The sequence below is a fragment of the Homo sapiens genome, chromosome 7, assembly GCF_000001405.40.
Source record: "Homo sapiens chromosome 7, GRCh38.p14 Primary Assembly".
In the NCBI taxonomy this organism is placed as follows: domain Eukaryota; kingdom Metazoa; phylum Chordata; class Mammalia; order Primates; family Hominidae; genus Homo; species Homo sapiens.
Genome location: NC_000007.14, coordinates 103,016,242 through 103,034,446, shown reverse-complemented (window position 1 = coordinate 103,034,446; position 18,205 = coordinate 103,016,242). Strand labels below are relative to the sequence as shown.

Sequence of the window (18,205 nt, the reverse complement as noted above, 5' to 3'; positions counted from 1 at the left end):
ACCTGGGCCAGCAGCTGCTGTGCTCAATTTCTCGCTGGGCTTTAGCTGCCTTCCCGTGGGGCAGGGCTCAGGACCTGCAGTCCGCCATGCCTGAGCCTCCCCCACACCGTCCATGGGCTCCTGTGCCGCCCTAGCCTCCCCTACAAGCGCCGCCCCCCGCTCCACGGTGCGCAGTCCCATCGACCACCCAATGGCTGAGGAGTGTGGGCACACGGCACAGGACTGGCAGGCAGCTCCACCTGCAGCCCCAGTGCGAGATCCACTGGGTGAAGCCAGCTGGTCTCCTGAGTCTAGTGGGAACTTGGAGAACCTTTATGTCTAGCTAAGGGATTGTAAATACACCAATCAGCACTCTGTCTCTAGCTCAAGGTTTGTAAACACACCAATCAGCACCCTGTGTCTAGCTCAGGGTTTGTGAATGCACCAATCGACACTCTGTATCTAGCTACTCTGGTGGGGACTTGGAGAACCTTTGTGTCGACACTCTGTATCTAGCTAATCTGGTGGGGATGTGGAGAACCTTTGTGTCTAGCTCAGGGATTGTAAACACACCAATCAGCGCCCTGTCAAAACAGACCACTTGGCTCTACCGATCAGCAGGATGTGGGTGGGGCCAGATAAGAGAATAAAAGCAGGCTGCCCGAGCCAGCATTGGGAACCCGCTGGGGTCCCCTTCCACACTGTGGAAGCTTTGTTCTTTCATTCTTTGCAATAAATCTTGCTGCTGCTCACTCTTTGGGTCCACATTGCCTTTATGAGCTGTAACACTCACCGTGAAGGTCTGCAGCTTCACTCCTGAAGCCAACAAGACCACAAACCCACCAGGAGGAACGAACAACTCCAGACGCGCTGCCTTAAGAGCTATAACACTCATCGGGAAGGTCTGCAGCTTCATTCTTGAGCCAGCAAGACCACGAATCCACCAGAAGGAAGAAACTCCGAACACATCCGAACATCAGAAGGAACAAACTCCAGACACGCCGCCTTTAAGAACTGTAACACTCACCGCGAGGGTCCGCGGCTTCATTCTTGAAGTCAGTGAGACCAAGAACCCACCAATTCTGGACACAATGCCTTTCCTTCACTTTGTATTGCACAAATAGTGCTGTGTGCCTCATAGGAGCAGTTCTTTTGGATTCTGCCTGCAGTTTGTTCTTCCCTAAGACTCAGACCCCTGATTCAGGTGGCAGAGACAGATGACATGTGGCTCCCCACCCCATCCCCATTCTTGTCTTTCTTTCAGAGCATAGGAAAAGAAAAAAAAGAAAAACAAAAACAAAAAACAAACAAAAAAACCTTTCTTAGTCTCTTGTCTGTCAAAAATATTTAAATTGACTTTTAGAACTCTGTGTGTGTGAGTGTGTATGTGTGTGTGTATGGGGGGATGGAGAGAGAGAGACAGAGACAGACAGACAGAGAGAGAGAGTCTCACTCTGTTGCCCAGGCTGGAGTGCAGTGGCACAATCATAGCTTGCTCACTGCAGCCTCTATCTGAGCTCCAGTGATTCTCCCACCTCAACCTCCCAAGTTGCTGGTACTATGGGTGCATGCCACCACACCCCGCTAATTTTTTATTTTTAGCAGAGACAAGGTCTCACTATGTTGCCGAGGCTACTCTTTAAGTCGTGAGCTCGAGGGATCCTCCCACCTCAGCCATCCAACGTTTTGGGATTGCAAGTGTGAGCCACCATGCCTGGCTGACTTTTAGAATGTAATATTAGACAGGCCCAGGTAACAGAATCCATTAGATTTAGGCCAATGTTATCCCACCTCCACACCTCATACTCATTAAATGTTGAAAATATAGAAAAGGAGAAGGAAAAACTAAAACTTTTTTTCTGTAGCTATTGAAATCCTCGCATCAACTGAGTTTGCAATGCAAATATATGGTCCTTGTCTGGATTCTAGTTTGAACAAACCGTGTAAGACATTTGGAGGCCAATTCCAGAGAGTTGGCTATGGCATGGGTACAATGATATTAAGCAATTACTATTAAGTGTCTAAGGCAGGATAATGGAATTGTGGTTGCAAAGAAAAGGTACTCATTTTTTAAGAGATGGATATTATGAGATTTGGGGGATGAAATGTCATGATGTCTTAATTTATATACTTTAAAATAGAAAAAGCAAGTATGGCAGAATGTTGACAATGTTAAACATGGATTGTGGGTATTAGGTGTTTATTTTATTTCTCTGTAAGTTTGAAATTTTAAATCTTATTTTCCTCCAACCCTGGCAGAGGAATGAAATTTTTTTATAAGCTATTTTTTTAGGACTGGGTTGTAATCATGCTACATATAATATCTTTTCAAAAAGAAATCAGTTTTATATTTCACTTCTTTTTCTCTCCTAATCTATAAAAACATGTTTCCTTGAAACTAGTGTGTGTGCTATTGTATGCTGCTGGAACTCAGCTTAAAATTTGGGACTTAACATTCTTCTGTCCCCAGTGTACATGAGGAATAAGACATACTCTTAGTCATAATAGTGACTAATCACAGCAGTAATTCCTAGAGAGGGTAAGAGTGGAGGGCTAAGGAATCTTGGGAAGTGAGCCTGGGTAGTTTACAAGTTTTGCAGTTGATTCCAACTGGCTTCTTGTAGGCCACTGGCCTAAAAAAGTAGTGTTAAACCCTAACTTAATACTATGAAAAATCTTTTGCAACGAATTCATTATTTATTTACACATTCCCACTCTTTAACTTTAAAAATCATCTCTTATGGTAGAATTTTTTCTTTTATTTCCAGACTAGAAATTAACCTTTCAGTGTACCTGGACTCTTAGAAATCGTATTGTGATGCACTGTCCATTCCTCCCTCACTTTGTTTGTAACTACGGGTGTCTGGGGATAGCAGCACTAGTGGTGTGAGTGTTATGTGAGGGTACTCTGAGGCCATCTGTAGCCAGCACTAACTTGCTGTTTATCCACTGACTTGCCCACAAAGTTGTTACCAGAATCCTTTGCCCTCCATTTGTGGTAGTCAGATGGTGGAGAATTGGCTTGCATTTAAGCAGTTTTCTAATTCTGTTGATGGATCAATACATATATATTTGTTGAGCTCCTACTCTGTGCAAAACACTGCCAGCTGGAATTAAAAGGTGAGAGGAAGAATATTTTTCAGTCAGAAGCAGTTAAACAATATGCAGCGACTGTGAAGGGTGGGAAGCCATTGGCTGGAGTGTGGATGGTGGAAACATAAATGGAGGAAGTGAAGCCATGTGACTAAGTGGTCCAGACATGTGCCCAGTGATTGGATTGGCCAGAGATTCCTTGGAGCTGCAGTGAAGTCAACACATGCCCACCCCTAAGTGGGGAATGGGGCATTACTGGGCTGGAGTCCTCTTGCATATTAGTCCCTTGGAGATGCTCTCTTAAACTTGCTTTTCCCTGTGAAGAAAAGAATATATACCAATAATAATAATAATGAAAAATTGTGAGTTTGTTTCTTTCTCTCTTTCCTTCCTTTCCCCTCCCTCGCTCCCTCGCTCCCTCCCTCCCTTGCAAACTGGGAGAACAATAAATGTAAAGTTAAAATAAAAATTTATGAAGAGAAACTCTTAAAAAATGAATATTAGAACAACAAAAATTCTGGTGTATTATAAATCATGAATTAATGAGGATTTAAATTACTTCTTTCAATAATAGAATAGAAAATGCTTTTATGCTGTTTTAAAGAGTTGATCATCAGAAAAGAAAACTTGAGTTCAAATGGTATTTGCTGAATTTTAATAATTCTTTTCAAAATCATTATTACTATAATGTTTTGAACTACATTCATTTGGTCATATAATATACTCATATTTTTATGACATATCATTTACTGTAGTTATTTATTTAGGACTTTTCAGGTAATATCATCTAAAAAGAATTAAGCTCATGAAATTTAGGGACCTACAACAGTACTGAAAAATTGTAATGTTAGTGAAATTTGTCTGCCTTTGCCACCTCATCCCCTTCTTGGTTTTTATTCTGCCTGCTGTAATATCCTCAATACTCCTTTACTCATCTGGATTCCTTTCTTCTATAAAAATCTGAATTTAGTGAAGAATGACTTGAATCGTTTATGTTGTCCCTCACTGTAGGCATAATTTGCATTTAATCTCCATCAAAAGTGAGGATTTTCACATGTCGGGGGTCCTATGGGCCTTTCTTGTATGCCTAAAATAAATCTATGATGAACATGTGTATGCCATATCTGTTAATTTAACAAAGTATTTACAGCAATGTGCAAAGGAGAAAACATTTGCCTTAGAAAAGTAGAATTCAGAATTCCTGGCTGTTGGTATAGATTTGAACCAAACTTACCTATACACCAAATAGATGTGACCATATGTTTGTATATCTATATAGTAAGCAAAGGGGCAACAAAATAAGAGGAAAACACCATTAACACTTAACAGTAGCCATGTGCATATAATACTTATGTTAATATAATAATATCTTTACTTATTAAAGAATGCACAGAAGGTATAGATGATTTCAGTTAGCTGTTGCCACATGTTATTGTGAATAGTTGTAAGTGATAAATTTGCATCTCTTTAAGCATATTCCACAGTTTAGACTTTTCATTTATGTGGTTTTCCTATTCCTGCTTGGTAAATGAGGAATTCCTCTATGTTGAAAAGAGAATCTCAGTTTATATCCTTGAAAAAAATCATTCTGTTTGATTCAGAATGATTCAGAAAATCATTCTGTTTTAATAGTGAACAGCAGAACTGCAATTCTATACTATTATAAATATAGCTTATCATAACAATGCCATGATGCTTAACTCTTCAAACTAAGTGAGATATAATGGGAAAATATATTAAGCTGTTATTTTAACTTAAAAAAATAGCTTACAGACATACACAAAATTCCAAAACATAAATAGTATATAGTTCTTTCAGCCCATTCCTGTCTCCAACTGCCCAATTCCCTTCCCTCTTGGCATCCATTGCTCTCTTTTTCTTGAGTATCTTGCAGAGGTAGTCTGTGCATTCCATTTATTTCTAATATTTGTTATTTCAATTATTTATTTACTTTAGATGACTCCGGAATTGATGATAAAAGCCTGTAGCTTTTATACTGGACATTTAGTAAAGACTCATTTTTGGTAAGAATGTGATTTTTACAATTTCTTCCTCTTTGAGTTTTTATTCTTGATATTCTCCGTGCAAAGAAAAATTCACTTTTGGCCAGTTGTGCTGATTTTATCTGTTTAATCATGTTTCTACCATTTTGTATTATATATTTCTTTTATATTTAATCAGCTTTTACTTAGTTAAAATATGTATTTTACTTCTTTAAGGTATAATTATCTTTTCTTAAAAAATAAAACTTTAAAATTAAAATATAGTTAGTTTCACAGTCCACTTATCTGAAACCCTTGGAGCCAAATATGTTGTGGAATTTAGATTCCTTTTAAAAAAAGACATCATTAGGTGGTTCTTTTGGTAAATTGGAATTATGACAACATGATTTTATCCCATGATTTCTTTATTTTATCTAAAAAGAAATATGACTCATATAATCTCCATTTTTCTCTATAACTCTTAGGAATTCTTCAGGTCATACCCAAGTTGTAGAAGTTTCTTTCTATGCTGTGGTTTTTGAGGTCATAAAGGAGATATCATTCTTTGTTCTCCTTAATTTATTTAATGATATATTGCCCTAATATCAAAATATTATTTTTTAAAAAATGTCTTCTGCCTGCAGCACTTGGAGAGACATAGCTCGTACAAATGAAAATGTCGTCCTGGCTGAAAAAATGAACAGAGCAGTGACATGCTACAATTTCAGACTTCAAAAATCTGTATTTCATCACTGGCACTCTTATATGGAAGACCAGAAAGAAAAACTTAAAAGTAAATTCTTACATAGTAGCAATTACTTTTTGTATCCATTTATTGAAATAATAAAAAAACTAACAGTTAAGCATACTTTGGGTACTTAGAGAACCTATCATTTTTATGTCTAGACAATTGTCATGAAATGAAGGTAGAGCTGCTAATTTAAAAATACTTAAGGAGATTTGTCTCAAAGGATTTTATTTTAATAGAAAACATTTAAAATCAAATCTTGTGTGCATTTGTGTGTATGTATACATGAATATAAATAGAATCTACTATGAGCTTTTCTACATAATAGAGAGCTGGATGGGTTCCAAATAGTATGGACAGGTACCAAAATTGACTATTTTTGTAAAGAGGTTTATGCTTTTTACAAAGATTATATTTAATGTATATATGACGAAACTAAAAAATAAAAATTATCTTCTCTTAAGACCTTGGGGGTTATACTGAGTGGGTGGGAGGTACATTCATGTGATCCATGCTCACTCAGTATAACCTCCAAGAGCTCTTGTCTTCCAGTTAGATTTTTTTGCAACTCTCCTGATAACAACTTGTTTATGACTGTTGCAAACCAGAGAATCATTTCTTTTTGGCTGGCTTTGGTTGGTACCTCAGTTAGAGTGGACCCTCCGAAAATTTTAACATTAGTGTAACGAAGGGTTAGGAACTGGTTAATCACAGGACATAAAATTAAATTCAAAGGCATTGGATCTAAATGCTACCTTATGACTGTATTTCTTATGAAAAAGTTTAGAAGTTCTGGTTTTACAAAGAACAACCTTGTTTAAAAAAAGGAAATGATACATGTCTTGACATTTCTATTGCAGTTTTACATCTTAATTTCTAAGGGCAAAGGTGATGTTTCCCAGTTCGTAAAGTCTTGAGAGTACTAATGCTATCAAAAGTAATTAATTTCAAGTGTAAATAAGACCAAACAAAAACGATCAGATGCGACATTGTCTCATAAACATGATAGACTATTAAATCACTTTGTGTTTTTTGGAAACAGCTATAACTATTAATATATACAGTAATCTAGTAAATTTCCTTCAGATATTCTATTGCGGATACAACAGATCATCTATTGTCACAAGCTAACCATTATCCTAACAAAATGGCGGAATACAGCAAGACATAAGAGTAAAAAGAAAGAAGATGAGCTGGTATTGTATATTGAAACAATTTTTTAAGAATCCGAATGTTTCAGTTATATTCATGTTGCCTCAAATAGTAATGCCGTGTGTGGAAAATACTAAAATCCTGAATATTATCTACTTTTGATGGGATTCTTGTTTTTTTTTATTTTTATTTTTTTGGGACAGAGTTTTGCTCTTGTTGTCCAGGCTGGAGTGCAATGGTGTGATCTCGGCTCACTGCAACCTCTGCCTCCCAGGTTCAAGCATTTCTCCTGCCTCAGCCTCCTGAGTAGCTGGAATTACAGGTGTCTGCCACCACACCCAGCTAATTTTTTTGTAGTTTTAGTAGAGATGGGGTTTCACCATGTTGGCTAGGCTGGTCTTGAACTCGTGACCTCAGGTGATCTGCCCGCCTCGGCCTCCTAAAGTGCTGGGATTACAGGCGTGAGCCACCGTGTCTGGCCGGGATTCTTGTTCTTTAACTTAATAATTTAAAATTTACTTCAGCTATTAGTATATCATTACTTAATATTGGTTTAGTATGCTCAAAGTAACACTATGATCAGATGTAGAAACATGCTGGATTTTTTTTTCTGTAGTTACATTATTTAGTAGGAGATATTTTATTAATATTCTTTGAAATATAAAGTAAGGGTAGATAGGAAAGAGAATGTGGGGTGAAGTTAAATCCCCTTCTTTTGTGGTTGCCCCATGGATCAATGCCTCTACTCACCTAAATTTGGTTCAGATGTTGAGACTGACAATAGCACACACGCAGCAAAAGAGTATGAGGAGATTTATTACTTACATATGCCTAAAACAATGCTAGAGCCTGTGCTGAGCTTTAAGCATCTCAGAGATTACTTGAGATGCTCTCTAGAAGTTTATAATCTATAGGTTTTGAGCTGGTGGTCTTGCAGGCTGTCCTCTAGGCTTTGCCTTTTGCAAACTACCTTTTCAATGTTACCAGTGAAACAGCTCTACTTTGGGTACCTAATACTATGTTAGTCTGCTCATTCACTGCTTTCCACCAGTCTGTATGTTAAGCTAGTGTTTTGATAACTGCCCTCTATGCCTGATCACTGATTGTCTAATAGTGAAATAGGTAACTGTACATGACCAGTCCCCCCTTATACACCCCCTTCAGCTAAACATCCCTGAATATAAAAATTAGCCAGGCATGGTGGTGGGCCCCTGTAATCCCAGCTACTTGGGAGGCTGAGTCAGGAGAATCTCTTGAACCCTTGAGGTGGAGGATGCAGTGAGCCGAGATCACGCCACTGCACTCCAGCCTGGGCGACAAAAGCGAAACTCCTTCTCAAAAAACAAACAAACAAAAAAATCCCTGAGAGCAGGCAGTATTGTTCTCTTAGTATTGTCCATATGCTGAGCGTAATGTTTTGCACACAGTGGTTGATATATATTAATATATATAATTTATGCTATATGTACTATAATATCATCAAGATATATGTATATTATATATATTATATAGTTAATTGTGTGTTTAGAGAACTTTTTTTCTAGATATATGATTTATTGACCTAACAATCATTCTACATTCACTTAAATGGAGTGAGGATGGCAAGTGTATGCTGGGAGCAGAGGCAGGGAACACCTGTGTGTCAAGCGCTCCACATGTGTTCTGCCTCAGGCTCTAATATGTGTGTGTATATACACAGACACATACATACATACATACACACATACACATATATATATTACATCAATATATATTATGCCAATATTGTGTATATGTTTATGACTGAAATACTACCTTTATTTATTACACAGTTTTCAGAAGTGTATCAAAAGTTAAAATGGGGACTTCCTGTGACAATAAATTTGGCAATTTCCCAAATGCATTACTACTGACTTCCCTTTTTTGTTATCTGTATGTTAATCACCTTCACTCCATGCACCAATTACCAGTTTTATCATTGCCAGAGCCTTGACTTTGTGGTCCTCACTTCCTCATCTGTGAAAGAGGAGACTAGATCAGCGTTTCAAGATGGCTGCCTGTGCCAGTGTTTTATGACAACTAATGGAAATGATCTGTAATACTTCGGTGGTTTAGAGAACATTAAACATGCTTATGAAAAATTATAGTTTATGTAGTAATGATGACGATCATAAATAATGTTTAATTGGTCCTATTCTTGTGTCAAGCACTGTGCTTTGTGTCTGTCATCTCTCTTGACCGTTACAGCAATTCCATGGAATTTTAAAATTATTTTCATTGCAGATATTAAAACATGAACTTCAATTGAAAAAATGGAAAAATAGGTTAATACTCAAAAGAGCTGCTGCAGAAGAATCCAATTTTCCTGAACGAAGTTCTTCTGAAGTCTTTCTTGTAGATGAGACTCTAAAATGTGACATTTCACTGTTACCTGAAAGAGCAATATTACAGGTTTGTATGAATTCAGTATACATTATATACTATAATCTGCCAAGTGTGGTGGTGCATGCCTGTAATCCCAGCTGCTTGGGAGGCTGAGACAGGAGAATTGCTTGAACCCAGGAGGCAGAGGTTGCAGTGAGCCGAGATCACACCATTGCACTCCAGCCTGGGCGACAATAGCAAAACTCCATCTCAAAAAAAAAAAAAAAAAAAATATATATATATATATATATATATACACATATATATACATATATATGTATGTATACACTATAATCCTACTCTTGATGTATTGCATTCAGTTAGAATAAGGATATTTTTGCCCATTATTTCTTCCTTTACAAATTACCTGCTCCTATCTTGTCTGTTTTTACATTGTAATTCCTATAATTTTCTTACTGGTTTGTAGTAGCTCTTTATATTGGCAATATTAGCCCTTTGGAATATATTTGGAGATTTTTTTCCCCCACACTTGATGTTTGCTTTCAGTTTTGCTTGTGGAGTCTTCTGGTGACAGAATTTTTTTTTTTTTTTTTTTTTTTTGAGATGGAGTTTCGCTCTTGTTGCCCAGGCTGGAAGTGCATTGGTGCAATCTCAGCTCACTGCAACCTCCGCCTCCTGGGTTCAAGCGATTCTCCAGCCTCAGCCTCCAGGTAGCTGGGATTACAGGTGCCCACCACTACGCCCAGCTAATTTTTTGTATTTTTAGTAGAGATGGGGTTTCACCATATTGGCCAGGCTGGTCTTAAACTCCTGACCTCAGGTGATCCACCCACCTTGGCCTCCCAAAGTGCTGGGATTACAGGCATGAACCACCACACCCGGCTGATGACAGAAATTTTAAAGCTTTATGTAATAAAGTCTGTCATCCTTGCCCTAATTATTTCTCTCTCTCTCTCTCTCTCTCTCTCTCTCTCTCTCTCTCTCTCTCTCTCTTTTTAACTTTTATTTTAGGTTGAGGGAGTACATGTGAAGGTTTGTTATATGTAGGTAAATTGCGTGTCATAGGAATTTGGTGTATATTTTGTCACCCAGGTTATAAGCCTAGCATTCAATAGATACTTCTCCAATCCTCACCATCCTCCCACCTCCACCCTCAAGTAGATCCTGGTGTCTGTTCTTCCTTTCTTTGTGTCCATATGTACTCAGAAGTTTAGCTTCCACTTGTAAGTGAGAATGTGTAGTATTTGGTTTTCTGTCTCTGTGTTAGTTTGCCTAGGATAATGGTCTCCAACTCCGTCCATGTTGCTGCAAAGGACATGATCTCATTCTTTTTTATGGCTGCATAGTATTTCAATGTATATATATACCACATTTTAAAAAATCCAGTCTACTGTTGATGGGCATTTAGGTTGATTTCATATCTTTGCTATTGTGAATAGTGCTGTGATGTGCATATGCATGCATGTGTCTTTATGGTAGAATGATTTATATTCCTTTGGGCATATACCCAATAATGGGATTGTTGGGTTGAATGGCAATTCTGTTTTATGTTCTTTGAGAAATGGCCAAACTGCTTTCCACAATGGCTGAGCTAATTTACATTCCCACCAGCAGTGTGTAAGCATTTCCTTTTCTCTGTAACCTTGCCAGTATCTGTTATTTTCTGACTTTTTAATAATAGCCATTCTAACTGGTGTGAGATTTACATTTCTCTAATGATTAGTGATGTTGAGCATTTTTTCATATGCTCATTGGTTGCCTGTATGTCTTCTAAGAAGTGTTTGTTTGTCTGTTTTCACCACTCTTTTAATGGTATTTTTTTTTGTTTTGTTCTGTTTTGTTTTGTTTTGTTTGAGACGGAGTCTCATTCTGTCGCTCAGGCTGGAGTGCAGTGGCGCGATCTCAGCTCACTGCAGGCTCCACCTCCCGGTTTCACGGCATTCTCCTGCCTCAGCCTCCTGAGTAGCTGGGACCACAGGTGCCCGCCACCACGCCCGGCTAATTTTTTGTATTTTTAGTAGAGGCGGGGTTTCACCGTGTTAGCCAGGATGGTCTCGATCTCCTGACCTCGTGATCCACCCGCCTCGGCCTCCCAAAGTGCTGGGATTACAGGCATGAGCCACCGTGCCTGGCTAATGGTGGTGTTTTTTTCTTGTAAATTTGTTTAAGATCCTTATAGATTGTGGATATTAGACTTCTGTTGGATGTATAGTTCACAAATGTTTTATACCATTCTATAGGTTGTCTGTTTATTCTGTTGATAGTTTCTTTTGCTGCTAGAAGTTCTTTTGTTTAATTAGGCCCCATTTGTTAATTTTTGTTTTTGTTGCAATTGCTTTTGGCATCTTCATAATGAAATTTTTGCCAAGTTCTATGCCCAGAATGGTATTTCCTAGGTTATCTTCCAGGGTTGTTATAGTTTTAAGTTTTACATTTAAGTCTTGCATCTATATTGAGTTGATTTTTGTATATGGTGTAAGGAAGTGGTCCAGTTTCAATATTCCGCGTGTGGCTAGCCAGTTATCCCAGTATCATTTATTGAATGAAGAGTTCTTTCCCTGTTGCTTGTTTTTCTTGATTGTGTAGATGTGTGGCATTATTTCTGGGCTCTTTATTCTGTTCCATTAGTCTATATTTCTGGTTTTTTTTTTTATACTTTAAGTTCTAGGGTACATGTGCACAACGTGCAGGTTTGTTACATATGTATACATGTGCCATGTTGGTGTGCTGCACGCATTAACTCGTCATTTACATTAGGTATATCTCCTAATGCTATCCCTCACCCCTCCCCCCACCCCACTACAGGCCCTGGTGTGTGGTGTTCCCCATCCTGTGTCCATGTGTTCTCATTGTTCCATTCCCACCTATGAGTAAGAACATGCGGTGTTTGGTTTTCTGTCCTTGTGATAATTTGCTGAGAATGATGGTTTCCAGCTTCATCCATGTCCCTACAAAGGACATGAACTCATCATTTTTTATGGCTGCATAGTATTCCATGGTATATATGTGCCACATTTTCTTAATCCAGTCTATCATTGTTGGACATTTGGGTTGGTTCCAAGTCTTTGCTATTGTGACTAGTGCCGCAATAAACATACGTGTGCATGTGTCTTTATAGCAGCATGATTTATAATCCTTTGGGTATATACTCAGTAATGGGATGGCTGGGTCAAATGGTAATTCTAGTTCTAGATCCTTGAGGAATCACCACACTGACTTCCACAATCGTTGTACTAGTTTACAGTCCCACCAACGGTGTAAAAGTGTTACTATTTCTCCACATCCTCTCCAGCACTTGTGTCCTGACTTTTTAATGATCACCATTCTAACTGGTATGAGATGGTATCTCATGGTGGTTTTGATTTGCATTTCTCTGATGGCCAGGGATGATGAGCATTTTTTCATGTGTCTGTTGGCTGCATAAATGTCTTCTTTTGAGAAGTGTCTGTTCATATCCTTTGCCCATTTTTGATGGGGTTGTTTGATTTTTTCTTGCAAATTTGTTTAAGTTCTTTGTAGATTCTGGATATTAGCCCTTTGCCAGATCAGTAGATTGCAAAAATTTTCTCCCATTCTGTAGGTTGCCTGTTCACTCTGATGGTAGTTTTTTTTGCTGTGCAGAAACTCTTCAGTTTAATTAGATCCCATTTGTCAATTTTGGCTTTTGGTGTCATTGCTTTTAGTGTTTTAGACATGAAGTCCTTGCCCATGCCTATGTCCTGAATGGTATTGCCTAGGTTTTCTTCTAGGGTTTTTATGGTTTTAGGTCTAACATTTAAGTCTTTAATTCATCTTGAATTAATTTTTGTATAAGGTGTAAGGAAGGGATCCAGCTTCAGCTTTCTACATATGGCTAGCCAGTTTTTCCAGCACCATTTATTAAATAGGGAATCCTTTCCCCATTTCTTGTTTTTGTCAGGTTTGTCAAAGATCAGATGGTTGTAGATATGCGGCATTATTTCTGAGGGCTCTGTTCTGTTCCATTGGTCTATATCTCTGTTTTGGTACCAGTACCATGCTGTTTTGGTTACTGTAGCTTTGTAGTATAGTTTGAAGTCAGGTAGCATGATGCCTCCAGCTTTGTTCTTTTTGCTTAGGATTGTCTTGGCAATGTGGGCTCTTTTTTGGTTCCATACGAACTTTAAAGTAGTTTTTTCCAATCTGTGAAGAAAGTCAGTGGTAGCTTGATGGGGATAGCATTGAATCTATAAATTACCTTGGGTAGTATGGCCATTTTCACGATATTGATTCTTCCTATCCATGAGCATGGAATTGTTTTCCATTTGTTTGTGTTCTCTTTTATTGTGTTGAGCAGAGGTTTGTAGTTCTCCTCGAAGAGGTCCTTCACATTTCTTGTAAGTTGGATTCCTAGGTATTTTATTCTCTTTGAAGCAATTGTGAATGGAAGTTCACTCATGATTTGGCTCTCTGTTTGTCTATTATTTGTGTATAGGAATGCTTGTGTTTTTTGCACATTGATTTTGTATCCTGAGACTTTGCTGAAGTTGCTTATCAGCTTAAGGAGATTTTGGGCTGAGACGATGGGGTTTTCTAAATATACAATCATGTCATCTGGTCATCTGCAAACAGGGACAATTTGACTTCCTCTTTTCTTAATTGAATACCCTTTATTTCTTTCTCTTGCCTGATTGCCCTGGCCAGAACTTCCAACGCTATGTTGAATCGGAGTGGTGAGAGAGGACATCCTTGTCTTGTGCTAGTTTTCAAAGGGAATGCTTCCAGTTTTTGCTCATTCATTATGATATTGGCTGTGGGTTTGTCATAAATAGCTCTTATTATTTTTAGGTACGTCCCATCAATAACTAATTTATAGAGAATTTTTAGCACGAAGGGTTGTTGAATTTTGTCAAAGGCCTTTTCTGTATCTATTGAGATAATCATGTGGTTTTTGCCTTTGGTTCTGTTTATATGCTGGACTATGTTTATTGATTTGCATATGTTGAACCAGCCTTGCATCCCAGGGATGAAGCCCACTTGATCATGGTGGATAAGCTTTTTGATATGCTGCTGGATTCGGTTTGCCAGTATTTTATTGAGGATTTTTGCATGGATATTCATCAGGGATATTGATCTAAAGTTCTCTTTTTTTGTTGTGTCTCTGCCAGGCTTTCGTATCAGGATGATGCTGGCCTCATAAAATGAGTTAGGGGTTGTTCCCTCTTTTTCTGTTGATTGGAATAGTTTCAGAAGGAATGGTACCAGCTCCTCCTTGTACCTCTGGTAGAATTCGGCTGTGAATCTATCTGGTCCTGGCCTTTTCTTTGGTTGGTAGGCTTTTAATTATTGCCTCAGTTTCAGAGCCTGTTATTGGTCTATTCAGGGATTCAACATCTTCTGGTTTAGTCTTGGGAGGGTGTATGTGTCCAGGAATTTATCCATTTCTTCTAGATTTTCTAGTTTATTTGCATAGAGGTGTTTATAGTATTCTCTGATGGTAGTTTGTATTTCTGTGGGATCAGTGGTGATAACCCTTTTATCATTTTTTATTGTGTCTATTTGATTCTTCCCTCTTTTCTTCTTTATGAGTCTTGCTATCCGTCTGTCAATTTTGTTAGTCTTTTCAAAAAACCAGCTCCTGGATTCATTGATTTTTTGAAGGGATTTTTGTGTCTCTATCTCCTTCAGTTCTGCTCTGATCTTAGTTATTTCTTGCCTTCTGCTAGCTTTTGAATATGTTTGCTCTTGCTTTTCTAGTTCTTTTAATTGTGATGTTAGGGTGTCAATTTTAGATCTTTCCTGCTTTCTCTTGTGGGCATTTAGTGCTATAAATTTCCCTCTACTCACTGCTTTAAATGTGTCCCAGACATTCCGGTATGTTGTCTCTTTGTTCTCATTGGTTTCAAAGAACATCTTTGTTTCTGCCTTCATTTCATTATGTACCCAGTAGTCATTCAGAAGCAGGTTATTCAGTTTCCATGTAGTTGAGCGGTTTTGAGTGAGTTTCTTAATCCTGAGTTCTAGTTTGATTGCACTGTGGTCTGAGAGACAGTTTGTTATAATTTCTGTTCTTTTACATTTCCTGAGGAGTGCTTTACTTCCAACTATGTGATCAATTTTGGAATAAGTGCTATGTGGTGCTGCGAAGAATGTATATTCTGTTGATTTGGGGTGGAGAGTTCTGTAGATGTGTATTAGGTCTGCTTGGTGCAGAGCTGAGTTCAATTCCTGGATATCCTTGTTAACTTTCTGTCTCGATCTGTCTAATGTTGACAGTGGGGTGTTAAAGTCTCCCATTATTATTGTGTGGGAGTCTAAGTCTCTTTGTAGGTCTCTAAGGACTTGCTTTATGAATCTGGGTGCTCCTGTATTGGATGCATACATATTTAGTATAGTTATCTCTTCTTGTTGAATTGATCCCTTGACCATTATGTAATGGCCTTCTTTGTCTCTTTTGATCTTCGTTGGTTTAAAGTCTGTTTTATCAGAGACTAGGATTGCAACCCTTGCTTGTTTTTTTGTTTTCCATTTGCTTGGTAGATCTTCCTCCATCCCTTTATTTTGAGCCTATGTGTGCCTCTGCATGTGAAATTGGTTTCCTGAATACAGCACACTGATGGGTCTTGAGTCTTTATCCAATTTGCCAGTCTGTGTCTTTTAATTGGAGCATTTAGCCCATTTACATTTAAGGTTAATATGTTATGTGTGAATTTGATCCTGTCATTATGATGTTAGCTGGTTATTTTGCTCATTAGTTGATGCAGTTTCTTTCTAACATCGATGGTTTTTCCAATTTGGCATGTTTTTGCAGTGGCTGGTACCGGTTGTTCCTTTCCGTGTTTAGTGCTTCCTTCAGGAGCTCTTGTAAGGCAGGCCTAGTGGTGACAAAATCTCTCAGTATTTGCTTGTCTGTAAAGGATTTTATTTCTCCTTCACTTATGAAGCTTAGTTTGGCTGGATATGAAATTCTGGGTTGAAAATTCTTTTCTTTAAGAATTTTGAATATTGGCCCCCACTCTCTTCTGGCTTGTAGAATTTCTGCCAAGAGATCCGCTGTTATTCTGATGGGATTCCCTTTGTGGGTAACCTGACCTTTCTTTCTGGCTGCCCTTAACATTTTTTCCTTCATTTCAACTTTGGTGAATCTGACAATTATGTGTCTTGGAGTTGCTCTTCTCGAGGAGTATCTTTGTGGCGTTCTCGGTATTTCCTGAATTTGAATGTTGGCCTGCCTTGCTAGATTGGGGAAGTTCTCCTGGATAATATCCCAAAGAGTGTTTTCCAACTTGATTCTTCTCCCTGTCACTTTCAGGTACACCAATCAGAACTAGGTTTGGTCTTTTCACATAATCCCATATTTCTTGGAGGCTTTGTTCATTTCTTTTTACTCTTTTTTTTCTCTAAACTTGTCTTCTCACTTCATTTCATTCATTTGATCTTCAATCACTGATACCCTTTCTTCCACTTGATGGAATCAGCTACTGAAGCTTATGCATGTGTCACATATTTCTCGTGTCATGGTTTTAAGCTCCATCAGATCATTTAAGGACTTCTCTACACTAGTTATTCTAGTTAGCTATTCATCTAATCTTTTTTCAAGGTTTTTAGCGTCTTTACGATGGGTTCGAACTTCCTCTTTAGCTTGGAGAAGTTTGATCGTCTGAAGCCTTCTTCTCTCAACTTGTCAAAGTCATTCTCCATCTAGCTTTGTTCTGTTCCTGGCGAGGAGCTGCATTCCTTTGGAGGGGGAGAGGTGCTCTGATTTTTAGAATTTTCAGCTTTTCTGCTCTGTTTTTTCCCCGTCTTTGTGGTTTTATCTGCCTTTGGTCTTTGATGATGGTGACGTACAGATGGGGTTTTTGTATGGATGTCCTTTCTGTTTGTTAATTTTCCTTCTGACAGTCAGGACCCTCAGCTGCAGGTCTGTTGGAGTTTGCTGGAGGTCCACTCCAGACACTGTTTGCCTGGGTATCACCAGCAGAGGCTGCAGAACAGCAAATATTGCTGAACAGCAAATGTTTCTGCCTGATCATTCCTCTGGAAGCTTCGTCTCAGAGGGGTACCCAGCCGTGTGAAGTGTCAGTCTGCCTCTACTGGGAGATGCCTCCCAGTTAGGCTACTCGGAGGTCAGGGACCCACTTGACGAGGCAGTCTGTCTGTTCTCAGATCTCAAACTCCATGCTGGGAGAACCACTACTCTCTTCAAAGCTGTCAGACAGGGACGTTTAAGTCTGCAGAGGTTTCTGCTGCCTTTTGTTCGGCTATGCCCTGCCCCTAGAGGTGGAGTCTACAGAGGCAGGTAGGCCTCCTGGAGCTGTGGTGGGCTCTACCCAGTTCGAGCTTCCAGGCCACTTTGTTTACCTACTCAAGCCTCAGCAATGGCGGGCGCCCCTCCCCCAGTCTCACTGCCGCCTTGCAGTTTGATCTCAGACTGCTGTGCGAGCAATGAGGGAGGCTCCATGGGTGTGGGACCCTCCGAGCCAGGCGCGGGATATAATCTCCTGGTGTGCCATTTACTAAGACCGTTGGAAAAGCACAGTATTAGGGTGGGAGTGACCCGATTTTCCAGGTGCCGTCTGTCACCCCTTCCCTTGGCTAGGAAAGGGAATTCCCTGACCCCTTATGCTTCCCGGGTGAGACCATGCCTTGCCCTGCTTCGGCTCTCGCTCGGTGGGCTGCACCAACTGTCCGACAAGCCCCAGTGAGATGAACCTGGTACCTCGGTTAGTGAGATGAACCCAGTACCTCAGTTGGAAGTGCAGAAATCACCCGTCTTCTGCGTCACTCACCCTGGGAGCTATAGATAGGAGCTGTTCCTATTCGGCCATCTTGGAACCTCCCCCCACCCCCCCCACATTTCTGTTTTTGTAACGGAACCATGTTGTTTTGGTTACCATAGCCTTATAGTGTAGTTTGAAGTTGGGTAATG

The 18,205-nt window shown here is 39.1% G+C and overlaps 1 protein-coding gene across 18 annotated transcripts in view; it reads left to right on the top strand.

Annotated features, from left to right (window-relative positions):
- The window catches only part of FBXL13 (F-box and leucine rich repeat protein 13), a 263,608-nt gene that overhangs the window by 40,350 nt on the left and 205,053 nt on the right, over positions 1–18,205 (top strand). For 17 of the 18 annotated variants that reach the window (NR_105043.2, XR_927410.4, XM_017011850.3 and 14 more), the window contains 4 exons: positions 5,029–5,096; positions 5,699–5,847; positions 6,889–6,998; positions 9,217–9,384. Coding sequence is in view for 15 of the 18 variants with exons in the window: in XM_017011850.3 (XP_016867339.1) it covers positions 5,029–5,096; positions 5,699–5,847; positions 6,889–6,998; positions 9,217–9,384 (495 nt within the window). In the remaining 3 variants the exon portion in view is untranslated. Of the gene's footprint in view, positions 1–5,022; positions 5,097–5,698; positions 5,848–6,888; positions 6,999–9,216; positions 9,385–18,205 lie in introns of those variants that run through there. The other variant, XM_047420044.1, reaches the window with a different exon arrangement.